Below are 22,524 nucleotides of genomic sequence, written 5' to 3'. Positions count from 1 at the left end.
GAGGCCAAAGCAGGAAGATCTCAAGCCCAAGGAGTTTAAGATCGGCCTGGGCAATATAGCGAGACCTTATCTCTACAAAAAAAATTAAAAATCAGCCGGGTGTGGGGGCGCATGCCTGTAGTCCCAGTTACTGGGGAGAATGGTGGGAGGATCGCTTGAGCCCGGGAGCTCGGGGGCTGCATGAGCGGTGATCCTACCACTGCACTCCAGCCTGGATGACAGAGCGGGACTCTGTCTCAAAAAAGAAAAAAAAAAGGAAAGACGACATTATTTCCATCCCAATACAGAATGGACCAGGAAATAGGTAGCAAATCTATTCAGTTACTCAAATGGAACTGCTGGCAACTTTTTAGTGTTTCTCAGAGAAAGAAACTGCTGTCACCATAAACCGGAGACTGAATTGATTTTGTAAATTGAAATTATTTTGAATAAGTCCGTTGGAACATTGGATAAGGCTGGACATTCTGTGAGAACAATACCCTGTCCTTAACCAGGCTGATGAACCGGACTGTATGTATCATAGCAGCAAAGATAACCTTAGGGTACAACTTTGTAACTTATTGCAGAATATAAACTGTAAAGCTAACAAAGTATACATTATCAATGCACAGTGAGAGAACCAATTACTTGGCAACTTGAGAAAGTCCTAAAAATTGCAGGGCACAATTTCTCATTGTACAGGTAAAGTATTTTTGTTCACCACGCCTTTTTAAACATTCACCAGTCTCACAGAATAACTAGTGGTGGCAACAAGCCACCTCAGGGGTTGATTAAAAAGTACATGTTTATTGATTTCTGTATGAGCCTGGTAATAAGCTCACTAAATTAATGCCACCTAAATTGTTCCTTGGTTTACTAACAAAGAATAACCATATTTTTATGGTCCAAATGCCAGGTTTACATAAGAGGCTCATCAAGAAGGAAAGGAAAAAATGGTTGCAACTTAAGTGATTTTCCCCTTCCACTTAGTCCTCCGTTCATAGGGCCCAATAGCTTCCTATCAAGCATCTCAAAATCTTTCTGACACCTGGATTTCAAGATTTTCCATTACTTAATGCATCCTCTTGAAAGTATCCCCACACTTTTCCACTACCCATCAGCGGGATGCCATTCAGTAATGGAAGCTACATTCCATGAGAGCAAGAACCTCATCTGTATCTCTGTGCCTGAAGGAGCCTGACACATAGTATTTAATAAGTACTCAATAAAAATCTGCTTTATGAAAATAGCCTTATTTGTTCACTACCTATCTTACTAGTTCCTGAGATATTTGAAAAGTTATCTATTCTATTAGAGTGTCAGCAAAATTCTGGGATGCTGAGATCCTGTAGAGTTATAGCCTTGGTTTGGTTCAGTTACTTTTCAAAGTTCCAGCTAAATCCTAAGGCATTCACAAGGGTGAGGTGCAGGTGTCTGAATATTTGGGCATTAATAAGCCAGATAGCACTATTCTGTGGCTTTCCAAGGTCAATTAAATTCTTTCCCCCAGTGAGAAAGAACATCAGCCTTAGAACTCAGCTTTAGTTCTAGCTTCAAACCAATTGGCTTTGGACACTTCTTAATTTTACAGCTCCTGGTTTTTCTAACCACTCTTAGGGCTCTAAAAACCATTTACTGTTTTTTTAGAGAAATCAACTAACCATTCTACGTCCTAGCATTATATTTTTCAAAAATTTCCCCAGTAGAAGTAAAAGCAATTTTACCAGTAACCTTTACTAACTTTTCTGAAATTGAGATGCCTCCCTAGACCTAAAAAAAGTTATTTCTAAATTTAGAGTCAGCTACTAGTAGTCGCTGTCTTTATTCAGAGTGATCATAGTTCATTGTAGACCAGCAAAAAAAAACTAAAAAAACAAAATCTAACTTTTTTTAACAAGATTACATTTTGGGGCTTCGTCTCTACCCAGCAGAGGAAAACAGGGTGGGAGATAAAACATTCCATCTAAGCAATTTCTCAAGCCTTACAGCCTCTTACTTCTGCCCAGCAGATCTTAAGTAGCAAAATAAATACACTTTGTATGAATAAAGAGTGGAACATTTGGGGAGGTAAGTCAAAGAGATAGCTTCCAAGTCACTTGTAATAAATATATCTGGAACGAAAAACCATTTTCTTCACAAGTCAGATTTGTAATTACCAAATTAGACATTGCTTGGTGCTAAAGAGCTGGATGCTGAGAGATTGCCCCTCTCCTCCCATTGCACTGAGCCTTAACCTCCTGAATTCCTGTTGAGCACTTGTAGGTATCTGGGGTGGCTTTGCTCAGCTTTCATAGCTGAGCAAACTCAACTGTGTCCATGTTGAAAAAATAAAAGAAATTCCACCAAATATTTTGTTATACTTTATTTATAAGAGAATATTTTGTGCCATAATAAAATATTTTAAAGGGCTCCCTTGATACAATACACCAACAGTTCATGATTTCCTCTCTTTCAAAAATGTTTGTATCCTTTCCTGAGAGCAAGGTAGGTAGGAACCACATTTTCTCAAAATTGTCCATCATTCAGAACCAGAGATGAAAAGAAGATACTTAGGCTTCTTTTGTAATTTGATATCTTTAGGTTTCTAGAAATCTCTCTACCTCTTTTCTGATAAGTTTTAGGAGAGTATATTAACCAAAAATTACAGGAGGAAATATTATCTGAGTTGTAGTACAGCATATAGTTCATAAGTTATTTTTAATTTATTTGAAAAGCAAATATTTGACATTTTGCAAAAATTAATATATTTTAGCTTTTTAGTTATCTCAAAGCATAGGACCTCATTTCATTTCTAACTATTCAGGATAGCATGACAGATACAGATTTAAATGTCCTATTTAAAAGAGGAAATTGGGCTGAGCATGATGGCTCATGCTTGCAATCCTAGCACTTTGAGAGGCCAAGATGGGAGGATTGCATGAGGCCAGGAGATCGAGACCAGCCTGGTCAACATAACAAGACCTTACCTCTTTTTTTTTTTTTTTTTTTTTTTTAAGAAAAAAAGAGGCTGGGCACGGTGGCTCACACCTGTAACCCCAGCACTTTGGGAGGCCAAGGCAGGCGGATCACGTGAGATCAAGAGTTCAAGACCAGCTTCACCAACATAGGGAAACCCCGTCTCTATTTTTAAAAATGCAAAAATTAGCTGGGTGCATTGGCACATGCCTCTAATCCCAGCTACTTGGGAGGCTGAGGCAGGAGAATCTCTTAAATTCGAGAGGTAGAAGTTCCTGTGAGCAAGATGGTGCTGCTATACTCCAGCCTGGGCGACAGAGCAAGACTCCGTCTCAAAAAAAAAAAAAAAAAGAAAAGAAAGAAAAAAAATAAAAAGAAAAGAGGAAATTGCTCCGATAGATTCAGGAAATGGTAATCATCATACCCAATGCAGAACATGCTTGACATTAATTTTTCTTCTACAGCATATAAAACATACTAAAAAGGTTCTTTAAATGTCTCTGAAGCAACATACTGTCTAGAAGAATATAATACCAGTAATTATTTTCCTAAGTTGAATTGATCCTTAATCCAAATCAAATCGTTAATATAGAGTGAATAGTATAGGAGGCAGAATGTTTTTTCTTTTGGCTGCTTGCTTGCTGATTTAAGATGTGTTTGGAGTTATACTGTGATTAAAAATCTTTTAAAAGTACTTTATTGTGTATCATCAAAATTGCTTTATTAAGTATGTGTCATTTAAGTCTCTGGTCACTTGGAATTTTTTTAAGGTTATGGATAAATATGTTTTCATGAAATTGTTCCATAATATCAAGATACAGTAGAAAGACTTTTAAACAAAAAAGTGTTTTAAAAATCTGTTATCACAGACCGTTGCGCCGCCCGCCCCCCGCCCACGTTTCACTAAAATATGTTAGCTAAGATTGGTCTTTGGGGCTCTGGAGATTTTTTATTTATTTATAGGTGCCACAGAACTCTTTTAAAAAAAATTTGTTTAGGGATTAGACCAATTTTAATTTTAAAATAGTATATTTATTGTCATCTAGGAAATATTATTCTAGGTCTTCCTCAGATGGAATGGATTTGTTCTAAACAAAATAAGATGATTAGATCATGTCTAAATCATTAAATGTTTTTCATTAATTAAAAGCGATCAACTGAAATATAGAAAATTTAAGCTGAAATTACTTAGATATGTTTAGTGTAACTTCAGGGAGGTAAGTGGGGACTATGGGTTTACATCAAAGACAAAATAAATATGTCCAGCACAATTCTTACTTGCCTGTTTCCTTAAATCAATTTAACAAATATTTACTGAGTTGATGCCAGGACTTATTATGAGCAAGACACTCTCCCTCCCAGCTGTGGCAGACATCTACTGAATAAAATAGTCTCTGCCTTCCCTTTTAAGATTAGAGCGGCCACACCAGATATTCAAATTGATTCTGTTGATAAAAAGTCTTTAAAAGTCTTCTTTCATCTTATCACTTCCCTCAGAGTTACAAGCTCCAGGAGTTTAGAAAACATCAAAAGAAGACATTTTTTGGTAAGACCAGTCCTAGGTACAAAGTAGCAGGTTTGGTCCTTGTCCTGTCTTCTGTTGCCCAGAGCAGTCTAGAATAGCCTGGAACTGTTAAGATTAACTACGTAGCAGGAGCTCTGATGAAATGGTTCATATATTATTTGTCTCACCATTTTGAACGTACTTTTATTTCCTGCCAGACCCATGTCCTAGAGCTCAGCAAGTTTTGATTTTCTGCAATTTGCCTCAAAAGGTGATTCCATTGAGATTTGCAGACTTTCGATGTTTCACATGGTTCTATATTTATTTTTACAAACTCAGAATTTTCAACATTAGTCAGAATCACCTTTACAAAGACTGTAAAGTTCGCATGCTACAGAGCCATGTAAAAGGTAAGTTGGAGGGCAGCTGAGGAGAGAAGGAAAAAGAAGAAAATACCCATTCAGGTGATTTGCCATGTGTGAGTTCTTAACATTATTTGAATATTTCCCCAATGCAGTCTAAAATAAGATGAAAACAAAACAAGAAAAACAATAACCTCCAGCACCAACTCAATTAGCTTAATTTTTTTCTACCAAAAACTAAAATGTATTCTATATAATCCATAGCTTCACAAAAAAATCAAAAAGTAAAATGAAAACTTAGAAATAATTAGAACACTTCTTTGAGACAGAGTCTCACTCTGTTACCCCAGCTGGAGTGCACTGGCACGATCTCTGCTCACTGCAACCTCCACCTCCCAGGTTCAGGCCATTCTCATGCTTCAGCCTCCTGAGTAGCTGGGATTGCAGGCACATGCCACCAAGCCCAGCTAATTTTTTGTATTTTTAGTAGAGCTGGAGTTTCACCATGTTGGCCAGGCTGGCCTCAAACTCCTGACCTCAGGTGATCCACCTGCCTCAGCCTCCCAAAGTGCTAAAGTGCTGGAATTACAGACTTGAGCCACCACTCCTGGCCCGGTAGGTTTTATTTTTAATTGTTTTATGAAAATTTTCAAATATGTAACAAAAGTAAAGAGAATTATATAATGAACCCCATATACCCCATCACTCAACTTCAACAATCTCAAGATATTGCTACTTGGTCCATCTATCCTTTCTGTGTGCATATTTTAAAGCTAATCTCAGACACCATGTGATTTCACCCCTGCTCACTAAATATACTCCACTGTCTACAACATATGGACATTTTTCTTACATAGGCACAATGCCATTATCACACCTATTAAAATTAGTAACAATTCCTTGATATTATCTATATTGTGATCACACCCAGTCTATATTCACAGATTTCCCTAATTGTCTTTAAAACACCAAACAGTAGATTCGTTTCCTGTTTTTCTCAACTCTCTTTTAATCTTGACATCTAGAGTAGCCCATTCTTACTTTTTGTGTGGCATTAACTTGAAGAAAACTCCTTAACTGTCCCATAGAATGTTCCATATTCCAGATCTATGTGTTGCTTCCTTGTGAAGTTGTTTAACTTGGTCCACTAACCTCCTATTGTAAACTTGGAGTTGGTTCTATCAGCTTAGTTCAGTTCAGGTTTGACTTTTAGGCAACCATACTTCATAGCTGCTGCTGTGTGTTCCATACTACATCATATCAGGAGGCACAGAATGTCAGCTTGTCTATTTTTCAATGAAGCTGTGATTGACCAATATGTTCAGGAGATGCCAGCTGGATCCCACTATTGTAAAGTTCCCATCTGCCTTTTATCAAATGGTTTCACCTACTTATTCCTGTTGTCTGAATTGGAGATTCATTAGGGGCTGCAAAATAGGGATTTTTTTTTTTTTTTTTTTTTTTTTTCTGAAACGAAATCTTACTCGTCACCCAGGCTGGAGTGCAATGGCACCGTCTCGGCTCACTGCAACCTCCGCCTCCCAGATTCAAGCAATTCTCCTGCCTCAGCCTCCCAAGTAGCTGGGATTACAGGCACCTGCCATCACGCCCAGCTAATTTTCGTATTTTTAGTGGACACGGGGTTTCACCATGTTGGTCAGGTTGGTCTTGAACTCCTGACCTCAAGTGATCTGCCCACCTCAGCCTTCCAAAGTGCTGGGATTACAGGTGTGAGCTACCGTGCCCTTCCAGGATGTTCTAATTGAGCATTAGCATGGAATATACTTAGTGGCAGGCACCTTCTTTCCCTGAAAGGTCCATGAGATCTTAGAATTAATTGAATTAGAATGTTTATAATAAAGTTAAAGGAAATACATGATCACAAGAATTAACACTAAGAAGGCGCCAAATCCCTCCAAATTCCATTCAAATGGAGATAAAAAAAAAACCTTTAGTTTCAAAAGTTTTGTTTGTTATTTAAGTTGTTAAAAGTCTAGCTCCATTTAGAAGCAGCTGATATTGTCACTTTGTCAATATGTCATATTGTCACTGATATTGTCACTGTCATATTGTCAGGGAGGGGTTCCACAGTTATACAATATTCTAAATATAATCTATTGGGAAATTCTCCCCATTTGCATAACACAGCTCATCCATATCTGCAAGAAGAAATATTCTCACCCAATCTGAAATTAATTATAGAATTATTCCCTTTATAGACTGTTAAAAAGTTGGAAACAATCCTCTCTGAGAGGGAAATCTCCAGGGAAATGAATATTCCCAGATTGCAGGTAGGCCACATGGAGAACCACCATGAGACTGAAAGGCTGGAGAGAGGGAGGCTTGCTACACATTGGACATCTCTCTAGAAAGAGACTAGATTCAAGAGACTGCTCATTCAAATGCCTAGGCCCTGCTCCAAGAGATGTGGATTTAATAAATCTTTTCCTTTAAAAATCTTTTCTGGATCATGATGCAGCTGATCCAGAGACCACATCTGAGGAAACCTCATCTTACTCATAGAATCAGGTAAAATAGAAAACATGCTGTCATTTGGAAGAAGGTGAGCACAACTACAGTTATGGTTTACCAGACAACCTTAGATGCCACCACTGTGGTCTGGTGTTGACTCTGGTGGTTTCTTGCCCATATATTCTTTGGTGTTTTTTTTCGGGGGAACACCCTAAGAAACCATTTCTCATTTCCACAAAATGAGCATGGCTGGAGCTGTCCATTCCTTCAGAAGAGATGGCAGCCTCCCACATTCCCACAAATAGACAAATGAAACATGGAATTACTTATAAGGGGGATCTTTCTACTCCTTTATCTTGACTTTGCCCATTTTTAACACTAAGACCAAAGATATTGGTTTGAATTTAATTCTGCAACGGAGGACTATTTTGGGGTTTCTGTTTTCTACTTCATCAGGTTCTATTCAAGATTATGCAGATCAATCCTGCCAAAAGTAATCACTCCCAATGGGGGCAGTTTACTAAAGAGGAAAATGAAAATTGAAGTGGGAATCAGGAAACCTGGGTTCTACTGGTGGCTCCACAGTAGATATGTGACCTTGGACATGTCCCTTCACTTTTAACATCAGAGTAATTTTATTTGCAAAATGAACAGGTTGTGGTTGGGCGCAGTGGCTCATGCCTGTAATCCCAGCACTTTGGGAGGCCGAGGCGGGTGGATCACTTGAGGGCAGGAGTTCGAGACCAGCCTGGCCAACATGGTGAATCCCCGTCTCTACTAAAAAATACAAAAATTAGCTGATGTGGTAACACATGCCTGTTATCCCAACTACTCAGGAAGCTGAGGTGGGAGAATCGCTTGAACCCCGGAGGCGGAGGTTGCAGTGAGCCGAGATCACGCCACTGCACTCCAGCCTGGGCAGCAGAGAGACTCCATCTCTAAATAAATAAGTAAATAAATAAGGAATAGGTTGAATCTAATCATTAATAATTCCACTTCTAGCTTTCCATCATTTCTCTGCACATCTATAAAATGTGTAATTGGTGTCATTCATATGACACTTAAAATGTACTGCTTTGTGCTGTAGCTGGTGTTCTGGTCTTGTTTCCTGGAGCAGCTGAAATGTATTTCATATTGTGTAGTGGATGCTGTGGTGCCTCCGCTGAGGCACTCCTCCCCAGCCACTGGGGTGTTGGTGGCTGATGGCTCTTATCTGAGTCCCTGTCTAGTCCTTCCAGGCACGTGGGATGTGGGGTGGAGGGAGGTGACAGCCAGCATCCAGTGATCATGTGATTGGCGTTCAAATACAGGGGACCACTTCCTTCCTCCCATATAGGCAGTGGGCAACAAAGACCATGAGGGAAAGATCTAAAGAGCTACTCCACCATCAGAGCTTCCCTTGCAATGGGCCGAATGGGCCGAGGTGTTTTGTTTTTTCTTTGTTTATTTATTTGTTTTTGACACAGAGTCTTGCTCTGTCGCCTAGGCTGGAGTGCAGTTGCATGATCTCAGCTCACTGCAACCTCCGCCTCCCAGGTCCAAGCGATTCTCCTGCCTCAGCCTCCCGAGTAGCTGAGACTACAGGCACCCACCACCATGCCTGGCTAATTTTTGTATTTTTAGTAGAGATGGGGTTTCACCATATTGCCCAAGCTGGTCTTGAACTCCTGACCTTGTGATCCACCCGCCTCAGCTTCCCAAAGTGCTGGGATTACAGGCGTGAGCCACCGCGCCCGGCAGACCGAGGTCTTTTCATGACTGCATCACAGTCCAACCTTTTCCTCGTGTAGCCTGCTTTCCTTACTCCCTCAATAGTGTATTGAGGAATGAAAGCATTCCCCAGTCAACCCACTGCATGAAAATATCAGAGTCTCAGAGTCTGTTTTCTGGTGATAGTAATTCTGTTCCTCACCACCTTCCTGTCTCTCCCATGTACCCATACACCTCTTGTGCAAGGTAGGCTGAAATGAACCAACATCAGCAGAGGCCGCGGCAGAGTGAGAGAGCTGCCCATGCTGGGAGAAGCCCTGGTCTTTGTCTCCACAAATGCTGAAACTGACAGTGTTTCTCCCAGAGTCCAAGTCTCCATTAGCCAAGCCAAGAGCAGAGGAAATGTTCTCCACTGGTAAGACTCACTGTATTTTGTTCCTGCACATCTCTTTGCACGTGTGTATCTAATTCCTGGCAGCAGCTAGAGGCGAGGGACTGGGTCTTACATAACTTGACTAAGACCAACAGAATATTGAAAAGTTGGCCTGTCTTTTTTTCTTCTAAAATTAGAGAAAACCCCTGGTTTTCAAACTGCTTCCTCTTTCAAATGAAAACCAGGATGAAACTGATCACACAGTGATGGTCTGGGATCCATCATCATAGATGGTGTCAAGGTTTCAGGAGGGCTTGCTGTTCCCTTCTATAATAGGGAGAAAAATTGCTTTAAGCAACCCCTGGTTCCTCACATATTGTAATAGACTGACTTTATTGTTGCTCTTATGAGAGTGGTATGCAATTTTAAACTAGTTTAATTCAAAATCAACACAGAGACACACACACATTTTTTTTTTTTTTTTGATAGCGTCTTGCTCTTTCACCCAGGTTGGAGTGCACTGGCACACTCATGGCTCACTGCAGTGGGCTCAAGCGATCCTCCCACCTCAGCCTCCTTCGGAGGCTGGGACCACAGGCATGCACCACCATGCCCTGGCTAATTTTTGTATTTTTTGTAGAGACAGGGTTTCAGCATGTTGCCCAGGCTCACACATATCTTTACCTTTAGGGCCAACCGACTGCATTATGTCCTCTTGTGTTAACATAAACCTTCCAAACAATGGATACTTACTTTCATTATGTAATATCCTTTCCTTCTGCTGTATACTTTCCTTCAATAGCCAGGAGTATCTGTGCCTGATTTTTTTTTCAATTTTTTGGTCAGGATCTCAGACGTTTGATATGATTTATAGAAGCACAGTCCTTTGAAATAAGACAATGAACTGTAGACTTGGGCATATTTAAATAATTCAAACATTGTCTAATAGTGTGTGGTTCCAGGAGGAAAGAAGAACTGTCGACACCAGAAAATTTCCTGCTGGAATTCTGCCAAAGAATAGCTGGCCGTCCTAGGGAGGTCCATCATTACGGAACTTTGCTGTTTGTAAATTTAATAAACGACTCACATCTGCTTATAATATCATGGAAGTCTATGTGAAAAGTACTTCTTATATAAAGCACATGGCTTATTTTAAAAATCAATGCTTTCTTCTTGTAGTATTTGTCAGCTTATACAGGAAAAACACTACACCTGTATTTACACTTAAGAGTCTAGGCCACAGCATTCATGTCCTACTTGTGCTTTGAGTCACAGCATGATATGGCTGAGACCTTAGAAATCATCTAGCCTCTCCCCATCACAGTGCAGCCAAGGCCCAGAAGAGGTAAAGGACTCCAGGGCAGTGCACCTGGAGTTAGTGCCAGTCAGGGCTCAGAGGGTGCCACACCCTGTCCTTCCTTCCTTTCTCTCTCCCTCCCTCCCTCCCTCCCTCCCTCCCTTCTTCAATATTTCCTCCTTCCTTCTTTCTGTCCTTCCTTCCTTTCTTTCCTTCCTTCCTTTGTCCTTCCTTCTTTCCTCTCCTTTCCCACCTTGCCTCCCTTCTTTCCTTCCTTCCTCCATTTTTCTTCCTCCCTTCCTTCCTCCCTCGCTCCCTCCCTCCCTCCCTTCTTTCCTTCTTTCCTTCCCCGATTTCTTCCTCCCTTCCTCCCTCCCTCTCTTCCTTCTTTTCTGCCTTTCTTCTTGTGGACTAGGTTACTTGGACTCCTTAGTTATGGCACATTAGCAGCATCACTGGCTGTCCACTGTCCCTCTCACATTTTATCCCAATGGACCACTTCCTTCCTCCTATGTAGGCACCATTCTGATGTGTTTAATGTCCATGATTTTAATTTTTACATATTTGAAAAATGTGTCTGTCCCCTCCTCCCCACCTTGCAGTATGCTTGAAGATCTGCCCATATTGTCCCATATTGTCCTGCATGTGAGCATGTAGCGCATTGCTTCCTGCTGCTGCGGTTCTCCAAGACTACAGCTTTTCCTGCCATAACCCCTGGCCTCATAGCCAATTCATCTAACAGTAGTTCCATCACAGCCAATCTGGGCTCACTTGATCTCTCTCAAGCAAAAATCACATGTTTTCTCTTATTAAACGTATATAAGGCAGAACAAGTCCAAGGAATATAAGTGATTTAGCAGTGGCTTCAATAACCTTTCACCTCTAGATAAATTACTGGTATGATTTAATATAATACAGACATAAAGTGTTCAAAAGCTGTTTTTATTCCATCAAAATGGGTTGAGTGCTTTTAAAATGTTTTGCCAGCACTACAGTTCCCAAGAGAAAAATATCTTCATTGTTCATTTTTTTCTTTTTTTTTTTTTTTAAAGGGGAAAGAAAGTTGGCAGGAGGATGGGGGATTGAACTCTTTTTCTGAAGGGCAATTTGCCAATATATTTCCAAAGGCTTTGATCTAGTAATTCCACTTCTAGGAATTTATCATAAGGCAATAATAAAGAGTAGCTGCAAAAATTCATCAAAGAATGTTCACTGCAGCAGTGTTTATAATTGTGAAAAAACTATAATCAATCTCAATTTGCCACAACCAAGGATGAGTTGAACTATGACATATTCTACTAATTAGCTCATTCAGCATATATTTATTGGGTTTCTGCTGTGTACCAGCACAGCGCTAAAGGTGGGAGATATCAAGAGGATCAAAATAAACAGGGTTCCAACCTGGAAAACAGTCGGCCATTAAACCTGTCGCTCTGGGAATACTCATGATACAATCAACGATTAAAGTAGGACACAAAGAAACACATTATTTTGGAGGGTTTTTTTTTTTTTTTTTTTTTTTTTGAGACAGAGTCTCACTCTGTCACCCAGCTGGAGTGCAGTGGCGTGATCTCAGCTCACTGCAACCTCTGCCTCCCGGGTTCATGCCATTCTCCTGCCTCAGCCTCCTGAGTAGCTGGGACTACAGGGTGCCCACCACCACACCCGGCTGATTTTTGTACTTTTAGTGGAGATGGGGTTTCACCGTGTTAGCCAGGATGGTCTCGATCTCCTGACCTCAGGTGATCTGCCCACCTCAGCCTCCCAAAGTGCTGGGATTACAGGCATGAGCCATTGCGCCCGGCCTTTTGTTTGTTTTTAGAGACAGAGTCTTGCTATGTTTCCCAGGGTGGAGTGCAGTGGTTATTCACAGGCACTATGATAGCTCACTGCAGCCTTGAACACCTGACCTCAAGTGATCTCTTGCCTCAGCCTCCCCAGTAATTAGGACTACCGGCCTGTGCCACCACGCCCAGCTAACACATTATTGTTATTATTTTTGAGACAGGGCCTCACTCTGTCGCCCAGGCTGGAGGGTAGTAGCACAATCTCGGTCCACTGCAATCTCCTTTTCCCAGGTTCAAGCGATTCTTTTGCCTCAACCTCCCTAGTAGCTGGGATTTCAGGCATGCACCACTATGCCCAATTAATTTTTGTTTTTTTGGATTTTTTTTAGTAGAGAGGGGATTTCACCATGTTGGCCAGGCTTGTCTTGAACTCCTGAGCTCAAGTGATCTGCCCGGCTCAGCCTCCCAAAGTGCTGGGATTACAGGCATGAGCCACCACATCCGGCCCTAACACGTTATTATTACAGTGTATAATGTTTTTTGCTTTGTTTGGTTTTGTTTTGTGTTTTTGAGATGGAGTTTAGCTCTTATTGCCCAGGCTGGAGTGTAATGGCACAATCTCAGCTCACTGCAACCTCTGCCTCCTGGGTTCAAGCCATTCTCCTGCCTCAGCCTCCCAAGTAGCTGGGATTATAGGCATATGCCACCACGCCCAGCTAATTTTGTATTTTTAGTAGAGATGGGGTTTCACCATGTTGGTCAGGCTGGTCTCGAACTCCTGACCTCAGGTGATCCACCCACCTCGGCCTCCCAAAGTGCTGGGATTACAGGCATGAGCCACCGTGCCTGGCCTGTATAATGTTTTATTTTAAAATTTATAATCATAGAAAGTTATTCAACAAAGAGCATTTCTTTGAGTTTTTTTTTTGAGATATATTGGACAGCATGGTAACAATAGATGATAATAGTGTATTATATATTTCAAAATTGTTTTGTTTGTTTTTGAGACAGGGTCTCACTCTGTCACCCAGGCTGGAGAGCAGTGGTGTGATCACGGCTCACTGCAGCCACGACCTCTTGGACTCAAGTAATCCTCTCACCTCAGCCTTTTAAGTAGCTGGGACTATAGGCACGTACCACCACGCCCAGCTAATTTTTTACTTTTAGTAGAGACAAGGTCTCACCATGTTGCCCAGGTTGGTCTTGAATTCCTGGGCTCAAACGATCCTCCCACCTCGGCCTCCCAAGGTGCTGGGATTACAGTCATGAGCCACCATGCCCGGCCTCAAAATTGTTAAGAGAGTAAATTTCAAATGTCCTCACCACAAAAAGTGATGAGTGAGGTAATGGATCTGTTAATTAGTTTGATTTAATCATTCCACATTGTGTACATATATGGTAACATCACTTTGTACCCTATAAATATACAATTACAGTTTGTCAATTTCCAATTAAATGTTTCAAAAGATTTTTTAAAGTAAAAAAAATTGTTTTAAAGAGCAAATTTTTTCAATAAGTTCAGTACAAAGCAACAGATAAATTTTTAAAAAAATAATTAATCAAGACAGCAACGCTTCAGCAGAGCAGCCAGGTGCACCCTCCAAGACAGTGATGATGCCCGGAGGCTGCTGTCTTTGGGGCGGGTTAGCGCTGACTTTACCATGCTGAGCCCAGTAATCCTTGGGCCACTGGGCTAATTGCTGAGAGGTCTGAATTCCAGCTAGGGCAGCGTGTAGTCAAAGACAAGCTTCCATATGTTCATGACTCCATTTCTCACCTATAAAATTAAGGTGCCGGACTTAGGGTCCCCCGTGATTCCCTTCAGTCCTAGAGTTCTTCCTTTTCTCTTGATTGTTATTTCACACACTGTCATTTTCCTATTTTTGCCTGTGTTGTGACATGTTTGTGCTTTTTAGCTGTCTGAGTGACTGAATTGGGTCACTGCTGCACAAACCCAATTGTCAGTCTGTCAGCTGTGGAAATGACTGGAAATACTGATAGTCCACACTGAGAACAGTTAAGTCATGCTGTACCAGTATGTCCTTAGGGTTTGTGTCTGCAAAGTCTATGTTACTAGTCAGTAGTAAGACTGATTCTACCAACCACGCGCCACACAGCCAGGATATTTATAGTGCTCTCCTGCATCCTCTTCCTAATAAAAATGTGTATTGAGCTAATTTTTACCTCCAAAACTGGATTTAAAAATTTCTCATTTTGTTTTAGAATTAGCAAGTCAAATGCTATTTCAAAATAAGAGCATATTATTCCATCAAAACCCATGGAAACATTATTTTAAAATTTGTTATTTAAAATTATAAAACATATTTTATAATAAAATTATTTTAAAAGACCTTCTCTGATTGCCACTGTACAGATGATTAGACTTTGAACTATTACAAAACAAACAGGGCCACCTGTGGTGGCTCACACCTATAATCCCAGCACTTTGGGAGGCCAAGGCAGGAGGATCTCTTGAGTCCAGAAGTTCTTGCACTTCTGGGAAACAGTGGAACCCAAATCTCTGCCAAAAAAAAGTGATTTTTATGTGCACTAAAATTGAAAAGCCCTTCTCAAGTAAAATTTGATAACTCTTCTCAAATATTTAATCTTCTCACTCTTAATTCCACTTTCCATTTGTCTAATACATCATAATTCCCAAGACTGATCTTCAAAATAGTGTCTACAATTAACTTTTCCTGTCGGAAATTGGCTTTTAATATCTATACATGTGTGTATGTGGGTGTATAATTTTATCCAGGAAGATCCCACAACAGGTTCTCATTTCTCACCACTGTTAGTTACTATTTGCACTTTTTAAAGACACTAAGGTCCTTATGAAGACAAAGCTGACGTTATTCTATTGCAGAATCTGAAATTAGAATGTCTTTTTTTTTTTTTTTTTTTCAAATGGAGTGTTGCTCTGTTGCCCTGGCTGGAGTACAGTGGCACGACCTGGGCTCACTGCAACTTCTGCCTCCCTGCAACTTCCGCCTCCCAGGTTCAAGCAATTCTTCTGTCTCAGCCTCCTGAATAGCTGGGACTACAGGTGCGCACCACCATGCCCGGCTAATTTTTTTTTTTTTTTTTAGAGACAGGATTTTACCATGTTGGCCAGGCTGATCTCAAACTCCTGACTTCAGATGATCCACTCGCCTCGGCCTTCCAAAATGCTGGGATTACAGGAGTTAGCCACCACACCTGGCCTAGAATGTATTTTTTTATATCAAAAGAAAGAAAATGACTCTGTCCTTCATTCATACTCAAGTGCTTCTCCAGTGATCTCAGTAGCTCTAAATCCAGGGAGGTGGATGCCCTGGTAACATCAGCCTGCTTAGATCCTGTTTATGAAAGAAAGTGGAGGAAAGAAAAGACAGCAATAATATATACCTAAAGTTAAAGAACATATTTATGGTCTTTTAAAAGACAACTATGTCAAATATACTGGTCTCCCCTCTTACCTCAGTCTCTCCTCTCCCCACACTAGGAGCAAGTTCAGCAACTAGAATCTGGCTACTTTTCTGACCAAATCTGTCTTATTATTAGTCACATATTCAGGTTACTTTTTGTATTCATTGCCTATTGCTATATAATAAGTTTTCTCACCTTTAATGGATTAAAAATTAATATTTTCTGTGGGTCAGGAGTCCAGGAGCAGATTTTCCAGGTACTCCGGCTCAAGGTCTCTGCTGAAGTTGCAGTCAAGATGTCAGTCAGAGCTGCAGCCTTTTTTTTTTTTTTGAGATGGAGTCTCACTCTGTCGCCCAGCCTGGAGTGCAGTGGTGCGATCTCAGCTCACGGCAACCTCCGCCTCCCGGGTTCAAGCAATTCTCCTGCCTCAGCCTCCCGAGTAGCTGGGACTACAGGCGCACACCACTATGCCCAGCTAATTTTAGTAGAGATGGGGTTTCACCATGCTGGCCAGGCTGGTCTTGAACTCCTGACCTTGTGATCTGCCTGCCTCGGCCTCCCAAAATGCTGGGATTACAAGCGTGAGCCACCATGCCCGGCAGAGCTGCAGCCTTCTGAGGGCTCAACTGTGGCTGAAGGATCTGCCTCCAAGGTGGTTCGTTCACATGCCTGGCAGGCAGTGCTGGTTGTTGGCAAAAGGCCCCAGTTCCTTCCCATGAGGGCCTGTCCCTAGGACTGCTTCAGCATCCTCACAACATGGCAGCTGGTTTTCCCCAGAGGCAGTGACATGAGAGCAAGGCAGAAGCCATGGTGCCTTTTTATAACCTACCTTCTGAAGTCACCCTCCATTGTTTCTGCAATTCCTTATTTAGTGTGGGAAGGGCGGGAATAATAGAAACAAAAGAATCAGAAGAGAAGTCTCCTTTGTTGTATGAGGTTAGTGCTGAGGTCAGGAAACAAGTGAGAGGGGGCCATTCAGAGAAGGATGAAGTTTGCATCAGGGAAATGGAGTTGCTTTGGATTTCCTCTGACTCTTGCTCTTTATTTCTTGGTCTGAGGTCATTTTTGATGCTTTGTTTTTAATCCTTTATCGGCTGCCATACTATAAAGCTGTTGGAAATATCAAAAGAAAGAAAGAAAAGAGGAAAATCAAGTCAGAAAAAGTCACCTCTTTTTTTTCCCCATCTTTTTGCCCCTGTGACAAAAGGCTGATGGCAAAGGGAAAGTAAAATTTTTGAGATCTCCAGATAAACATGAATTATATTGTAAAAATATGAAGTGATATATCCGAGTTTGGATAAATAATCTCCAAGGCTTGCCTAGATGTTTTGAGGTCCAAGATGGATTGGTAGGAGGACACTTTTCCCAGAGTCTATTTGGAATTGAAGAGATAGGATGTAGGGATTATCATATTAGAAATATATTTTGAAATGGATCAGAACTATTATGGTGTTATGATATATACTGGTTTTCATCCACGGCTCCTGGCTCATAACCCCTGTATTAGTCAGGGGGGTTTATTAAGTGTTAACTCACATGATCACAAGGTCCCACAATAGGCTGTCTACAGGCTGAGGAGCAAGGAGAGCCAGTCCAAGTTCCAAAAATGAAGAACTTGGAGTCCAGTGTTTGACAGAAGGAAGAATCCAGCATGGGAGAAAGATGTAGGCTGGGAGGCTAGGCCAGTCTCTCTTCACATTTTTCTGCCTGCTTATAGTCTAGCCATGCTGGCAACTGATTAGATTGTGCCCACCCAGATTAAGGGTGGGTCTACCTTTCCCAGCCCACTGACTCAAATGTTAATCTTCTTTGGCAATACCCTCACAGACACACCCAGGATTAATACTTTGCATCCTTCATTCCAATGAAGTTGACACTCAGTATTAACCATCACCACCCGCTTAGCCCTTGTTGCAGTCTTTTATTATAATGTTGGGTGTGTGAGGCTGCAGTGGCAGCCTCTGACCTTCTCCTGCCCTCCTTTTGCCTGCTCCAAGGCAGAACTCTAATGTTCGCCCACCTTTATGATTGTGGGTCCTAAGACCCTCCCGTGAGAGGGTCCTGCCCTGTGCCCTGGGGGAAGGAATGCTCACATCACGAAGCTTCCCTAAAAACCCAAGAGGGTTCAGTGAGCTTCTGGATAGCTGAACACATGGAGGTTCCTGGAGGGTGGCACCCGGGCAGGGGGGTCATCGAAGCTTCGTGCCCCTTCCCCCATTCCTTGCCCTATGCATGTTTTCATCTGTATCCTTTGCAATATCCTTTATAATAAACTGGTAAATGTATTTCCCTGAGTTCTGTGAGCCACTTCAGCAAATTAATCCAACCCAAAAGGGAATTATGGGAGCCCCAACTTGAAGCCAGTTGGTCAGAAGTTCTAGAGACCCGGACATGTGACTGGTATGTGATGAGGGGGGCAGTCTTGGGGACTGAGCCCGCAACCTATGGGATCTGATATCATCTCCAGGTAGTGTTGGAAATGAACTAGAGAACACCAAGCTGTTGTCACCTGCTTGGTGTGGGGGGAAACCTTCACACATTTGGTCACAGAAGTCTTCTGTGTTGATGATTGTTGTGGCATGAGAGTAAAGGAAAAAGACAGAGTTTTTACACAACCATATTTGTAATTTTCTCCAACCCTGAGCATCTAGACTTCTAATAAACTATGCTTTTGCTAAGAAAGAACACGGGAGGAAGCAAATCCTTGACCCAGATCTCTGGCAACCTGAGATGGAAACTGACATGGCCCCAACACTACGCCTAACACCTGGGGCCTCACTCCTCTATAGGAATACAAGGTTGATTATACTTTTCTTCTTCTATCTTCAGTAAGAGTAATAATATCGAAAGGTTTCATTATTATTAGTATTATTATTATTATTACTATTGAGACAGAGTCTCACTCTGTCACCCAGGCTGGAGTGCAGTGGCATGATCTCGGCTTACTGCAACTTCTGCCGCCCGGCTTCAAGCAATTCTCATGCCTCAGCCTCCTGAGTAGCTGGAATTACAGGCACACGCCACCACACCTGGCTAGTTTTGTTTTGTTTTGTTTTGTTTTGTTTTCATTTGTTTGTATTTTTAGAAGGGATGGGGTTTCACCATGTTGGCCAGGTTGGTCTCGAACTCCCGACCACAGGTGATCTGCCCTCCTTGGCCTCCAAAAGTGCTGGGATTAAAGGAATGAGGTTTCATTATTTTTGAATAGCTTACTCAAAGATTAAAGAAAGAGCATATTTAAGGCTCTAGTGGCACTCAGTAGACCAAGGGAGGGAGAAGGAAGGGAGGAAAGTAAGAGAGGATGATAAAACCGTTTCAGCCACTGGCTGTGTGGAAGCAGCTAACTGTGGGAGGCAAGAATAGGGAAGAGCTGAAGAAGGAAGCTTTTCTTTCCTCAGCATTGCAAGGACCACTCACCAAGAGGGGATAGCCAAAAGAAATAATAATGTCCAAGGCAGTTACAACCACTCTTGGAAGCTTGCATCTCTTCATTCATGTTTGCGGTCATTGTTAGGTTTATCACATACTTTTATTAAAAGTTGCTCAGTAAAGTATCAAGTGTAGTTTATTTTCTTTCCATAAGAGAATTTAATAAAATTTTAGGAGTATCAAGCAAAGCTCAAGCTTTCATAGGCAGTTATCCCTGGTTCAATCTGTTCCTAGAACATATTCCTTTTTTTTTTTTTTTTTCCTGAGACAGGGTCTGGCTCCGTGGCCCAGGCTGGGGTGCAGAGGTGAGATCCTGGCTCACTGAAACCTCCGCCTCACACCTGTAATCCTAGCACTTTGGGAGGCCAAGGTGGACCGATCACTTGAGCTCAGCAGTTGGAGAACAGATTTCTGACATATAAAAACTATCCTTCATTTGATAGCTATTTCCCTGAGACCTCTGTGGTCCACTCCACATTTTGACTCTATTTATCAATGAATTTTTAAAAATCACTAAGCAGTTACGGTCATTTCCTGATAAAAAGTATTGAACTTTTCAGGCATAGTTCCTTTATGTATGTTTGATATGAATCATCAGAGAAATCTAAAGCAACATACACACAGTTCCTGACTTGCCATAGTTCGACTTAAGATTTTCCAACTTTACAGCGATTTGAAGGCAATGTTGAAAAATCTTAAGTTGCATCATCGCAAGTTCAGCAACTGTCTGTATGCTGCTTTAGAACCAAGTTGAAAAAGTACCGTAATAACTGTACTTCAAGTACCCATACAACCATTCTGTTTCTTACTTCCAGTATAGTATTCAATATATTACAGGAAATATTAACACTTTCTTATAAAGTAAGCTTTTTGTTAGAGGATTTAGCCCAACTGTGGGTGAGGCTAAGCTACGAGGTTCCGTGGGCTAGGTATATTAAATGTATTTTTGGTTTATGATATGTTCAACTTTTGATGGGTTTATGGGGACTGCAACCTTATCAAAAGTTGAGGAGCCCATCTCTGCTTGTGTGAAACTCAGGTGCAATGAAACTGCTCTGGGACTTAGCATCAGGAAACCTCAATTTGAATTCCTTCTCCACTACCTTGAACTAAATCACTTCAGCTTTCTGAGCTATCTACCTGTAATATCTGCTTAACAGGGATGCTGTGAAGATTAAATAAAATGACATGTGGGAATGTGCTTGTGTTCCCAAATACATGGTTGTTAGATTAATTTATGGTCATTGAATTAGCATCACTACTTTTTTTAGAGAGTTCCCAATAATTTAAAAAATTCTTAGGCTGGGCTCAGTGGCTCACGTCTGTAATCCCAGCACTTTGGGAGGCCAAGGCAAGAGGATTGCTTGAGCCCAGGAGTTCAAGACTAGCCTGGGCAACATAGGAAGACCTCATCTCTACAAAAAAAAAAAAAAATATATATATATATATATAAACATTTTCTGGGCACGGTGGTGCATGCCTTTGACCCCAGCTACTTGGAAAGCTGAGGCAGGAGGATAGCTTGTGCCCGGCTGGAAGAGATTGCAGTGAGCCGTGATTACACCACTGCACTCCAGCCTGAGCGATGGAGCAAGATCCTATCTCAAAATAATAATAATAATAATAATAATATAAAATAAATAAAACATTATTTAAACAAATGGTTATTTAGAACACACCATGAACCAGGCCTGTGCTCCGTGGTGGAGAGAAAAACAGTGAACAAGATGGTTATAGTTCTTGCTCTCATGGACCTTACAGTCTAGAAAGGAATACAGACTAGTATGCAGATAGTTACAATGAGGGGTGCCAAGGCATATATGTAACAATAACTTTGTTATTCTCATACTGTATTCTCATACTGTATGTTCTCATAACTTTGTTATTATCATACTGTATTCACTCCAAATCTGCATCTATGTAGCTTTTACAGTCTGTAAAGCCAGGACATAAAAGTGTTCGGCAATCTCAGGGCACAATTGTACCCCATGACAGATCCATTATTGGGCTTGAAGGCAGGTACCCTGTGTGACTCAACACAGGAATGGTAGAATGGCCACACCTCACCCACCTCAACAGCCATTGCAAGATTTTTTTTCTCATGAGATTTTATTGTGCAAGTTTTTTGTGCCATCAAGACCACAGGCTAGAGTCAGCCCTTGTTTCATTTTATTTATTTATTTTTTTAAGAAAAATTTAATTTTGGCCTGGTGCAGTGGCTCATGCCTGTAATCCCAGCACTTTGGGATGCTGAGGCAGGTGGGTCCCTTGCATCCAGGAGTCTGAGACCAGCCTTGGCCCCATGGCAAAACCCTATCTCTACAAAAAAATACAAAAAATTAGCTGGGCATGGTGGCACACACCTGTGGTCCCAGGTACCTGGGAGGCTGAGGTGGGAGGATGGCTTGAACCTGTGAGTTTGAGGCTACAGTGAGCCATGTTCATGCCACTGCACTCCAGCCTGTGTGACAGGGTGAGACTCTGTCTCAAAAAAAAAAAATTAGTTTTATTGAGGTATAAAATTAATTCATTTTAAGTGTACAATCTAATGATTTTTAATAAATTTATAGAGTTGTACACCCATTATTGCAATCTAGTTTTTATCACATTTTCCATCACCCATAAAATAAACCTTAGGTCCCTTTGCAGGCATTCTGTGTTCTTACTCTCAGCCCTGGCAATCACTGATCTATTTTCTGTCTCTGCAGATTTGCCTATTTTGGACATTTCACATAAATGGAATCAAACAATGTGTAGTCTTTTCTTTCACTTAGTATCATGTTGTTTCCTTTTTTTTTTTTTTTTTTTTGAGACCGAGTCTCACTCTGTCGCCAAGCTGGAGTGCAGTGGCGCGATCTCAGCTCACTGCAACCTCCGACTCCCTGGTTCAAGCGATTCTCTTGCCTCAGCCTCTCGAGTAGCTGGGATTACAGGCACACACCACCACACCCAGCTAAATTTTGTATTTTTAGTAGAGATGGGGCTTCACCATGTTGGCCAGGATGGTCTCGATCTCCTGACCTTGTGATTCACCAGCCTCAGCCTCCCAAAGTGCTGGGATTACAGGCGTTAAGAGCAGCATGTTTTTGAGGGGCACCCTTGTTGTAGCATGGATCAGTATCTTTCTATGACTAAATAGTATTCCACCATGTGGATAGTCCACATGTGTTATCTATTCATTGGCTGATGGACATTTGGATTGCTTCCACTTTTTGATCATTATTCTTGATTTCACTTAGTCCTTCCAC

The 22,524-nt window shown here is 41.3% G+C and overlaps 1 long non-coding RNA gene across 1 annotated transcript; it reads left to right on the top strand.

Moving 5' to 3' along the window:
- Positions 9,174 to 10,459, top strand: LOC124903503 (uncharacterized). Its single transcript, XR_007064670.1, has 2 exons — positions 9,174 to 9,397; positions 10,318 to 10,459. It is a non-coding gene; the product is annotated as an uncharacterized LOC124903503 (long non-coding RNA).
- The last annotated feature ends 12,065 nt before the right edge of the window (positions 10,460 to 22,524 follow it).

Source organism: Homo sapiens, chromosome 15 (assembly GCF_000001405.40).
Source record: "Homo sapiens chromosome 15, GRCh38.p14 Primary Assembly".
NCBI lineage: Eukaryota > Metazoa > Chordata > Mammalia > Primates > Hominidae > Homo > Homo sapiens.
This window is presented reverse-complemented; position numbering and strand designations above follow the sequence as displayed.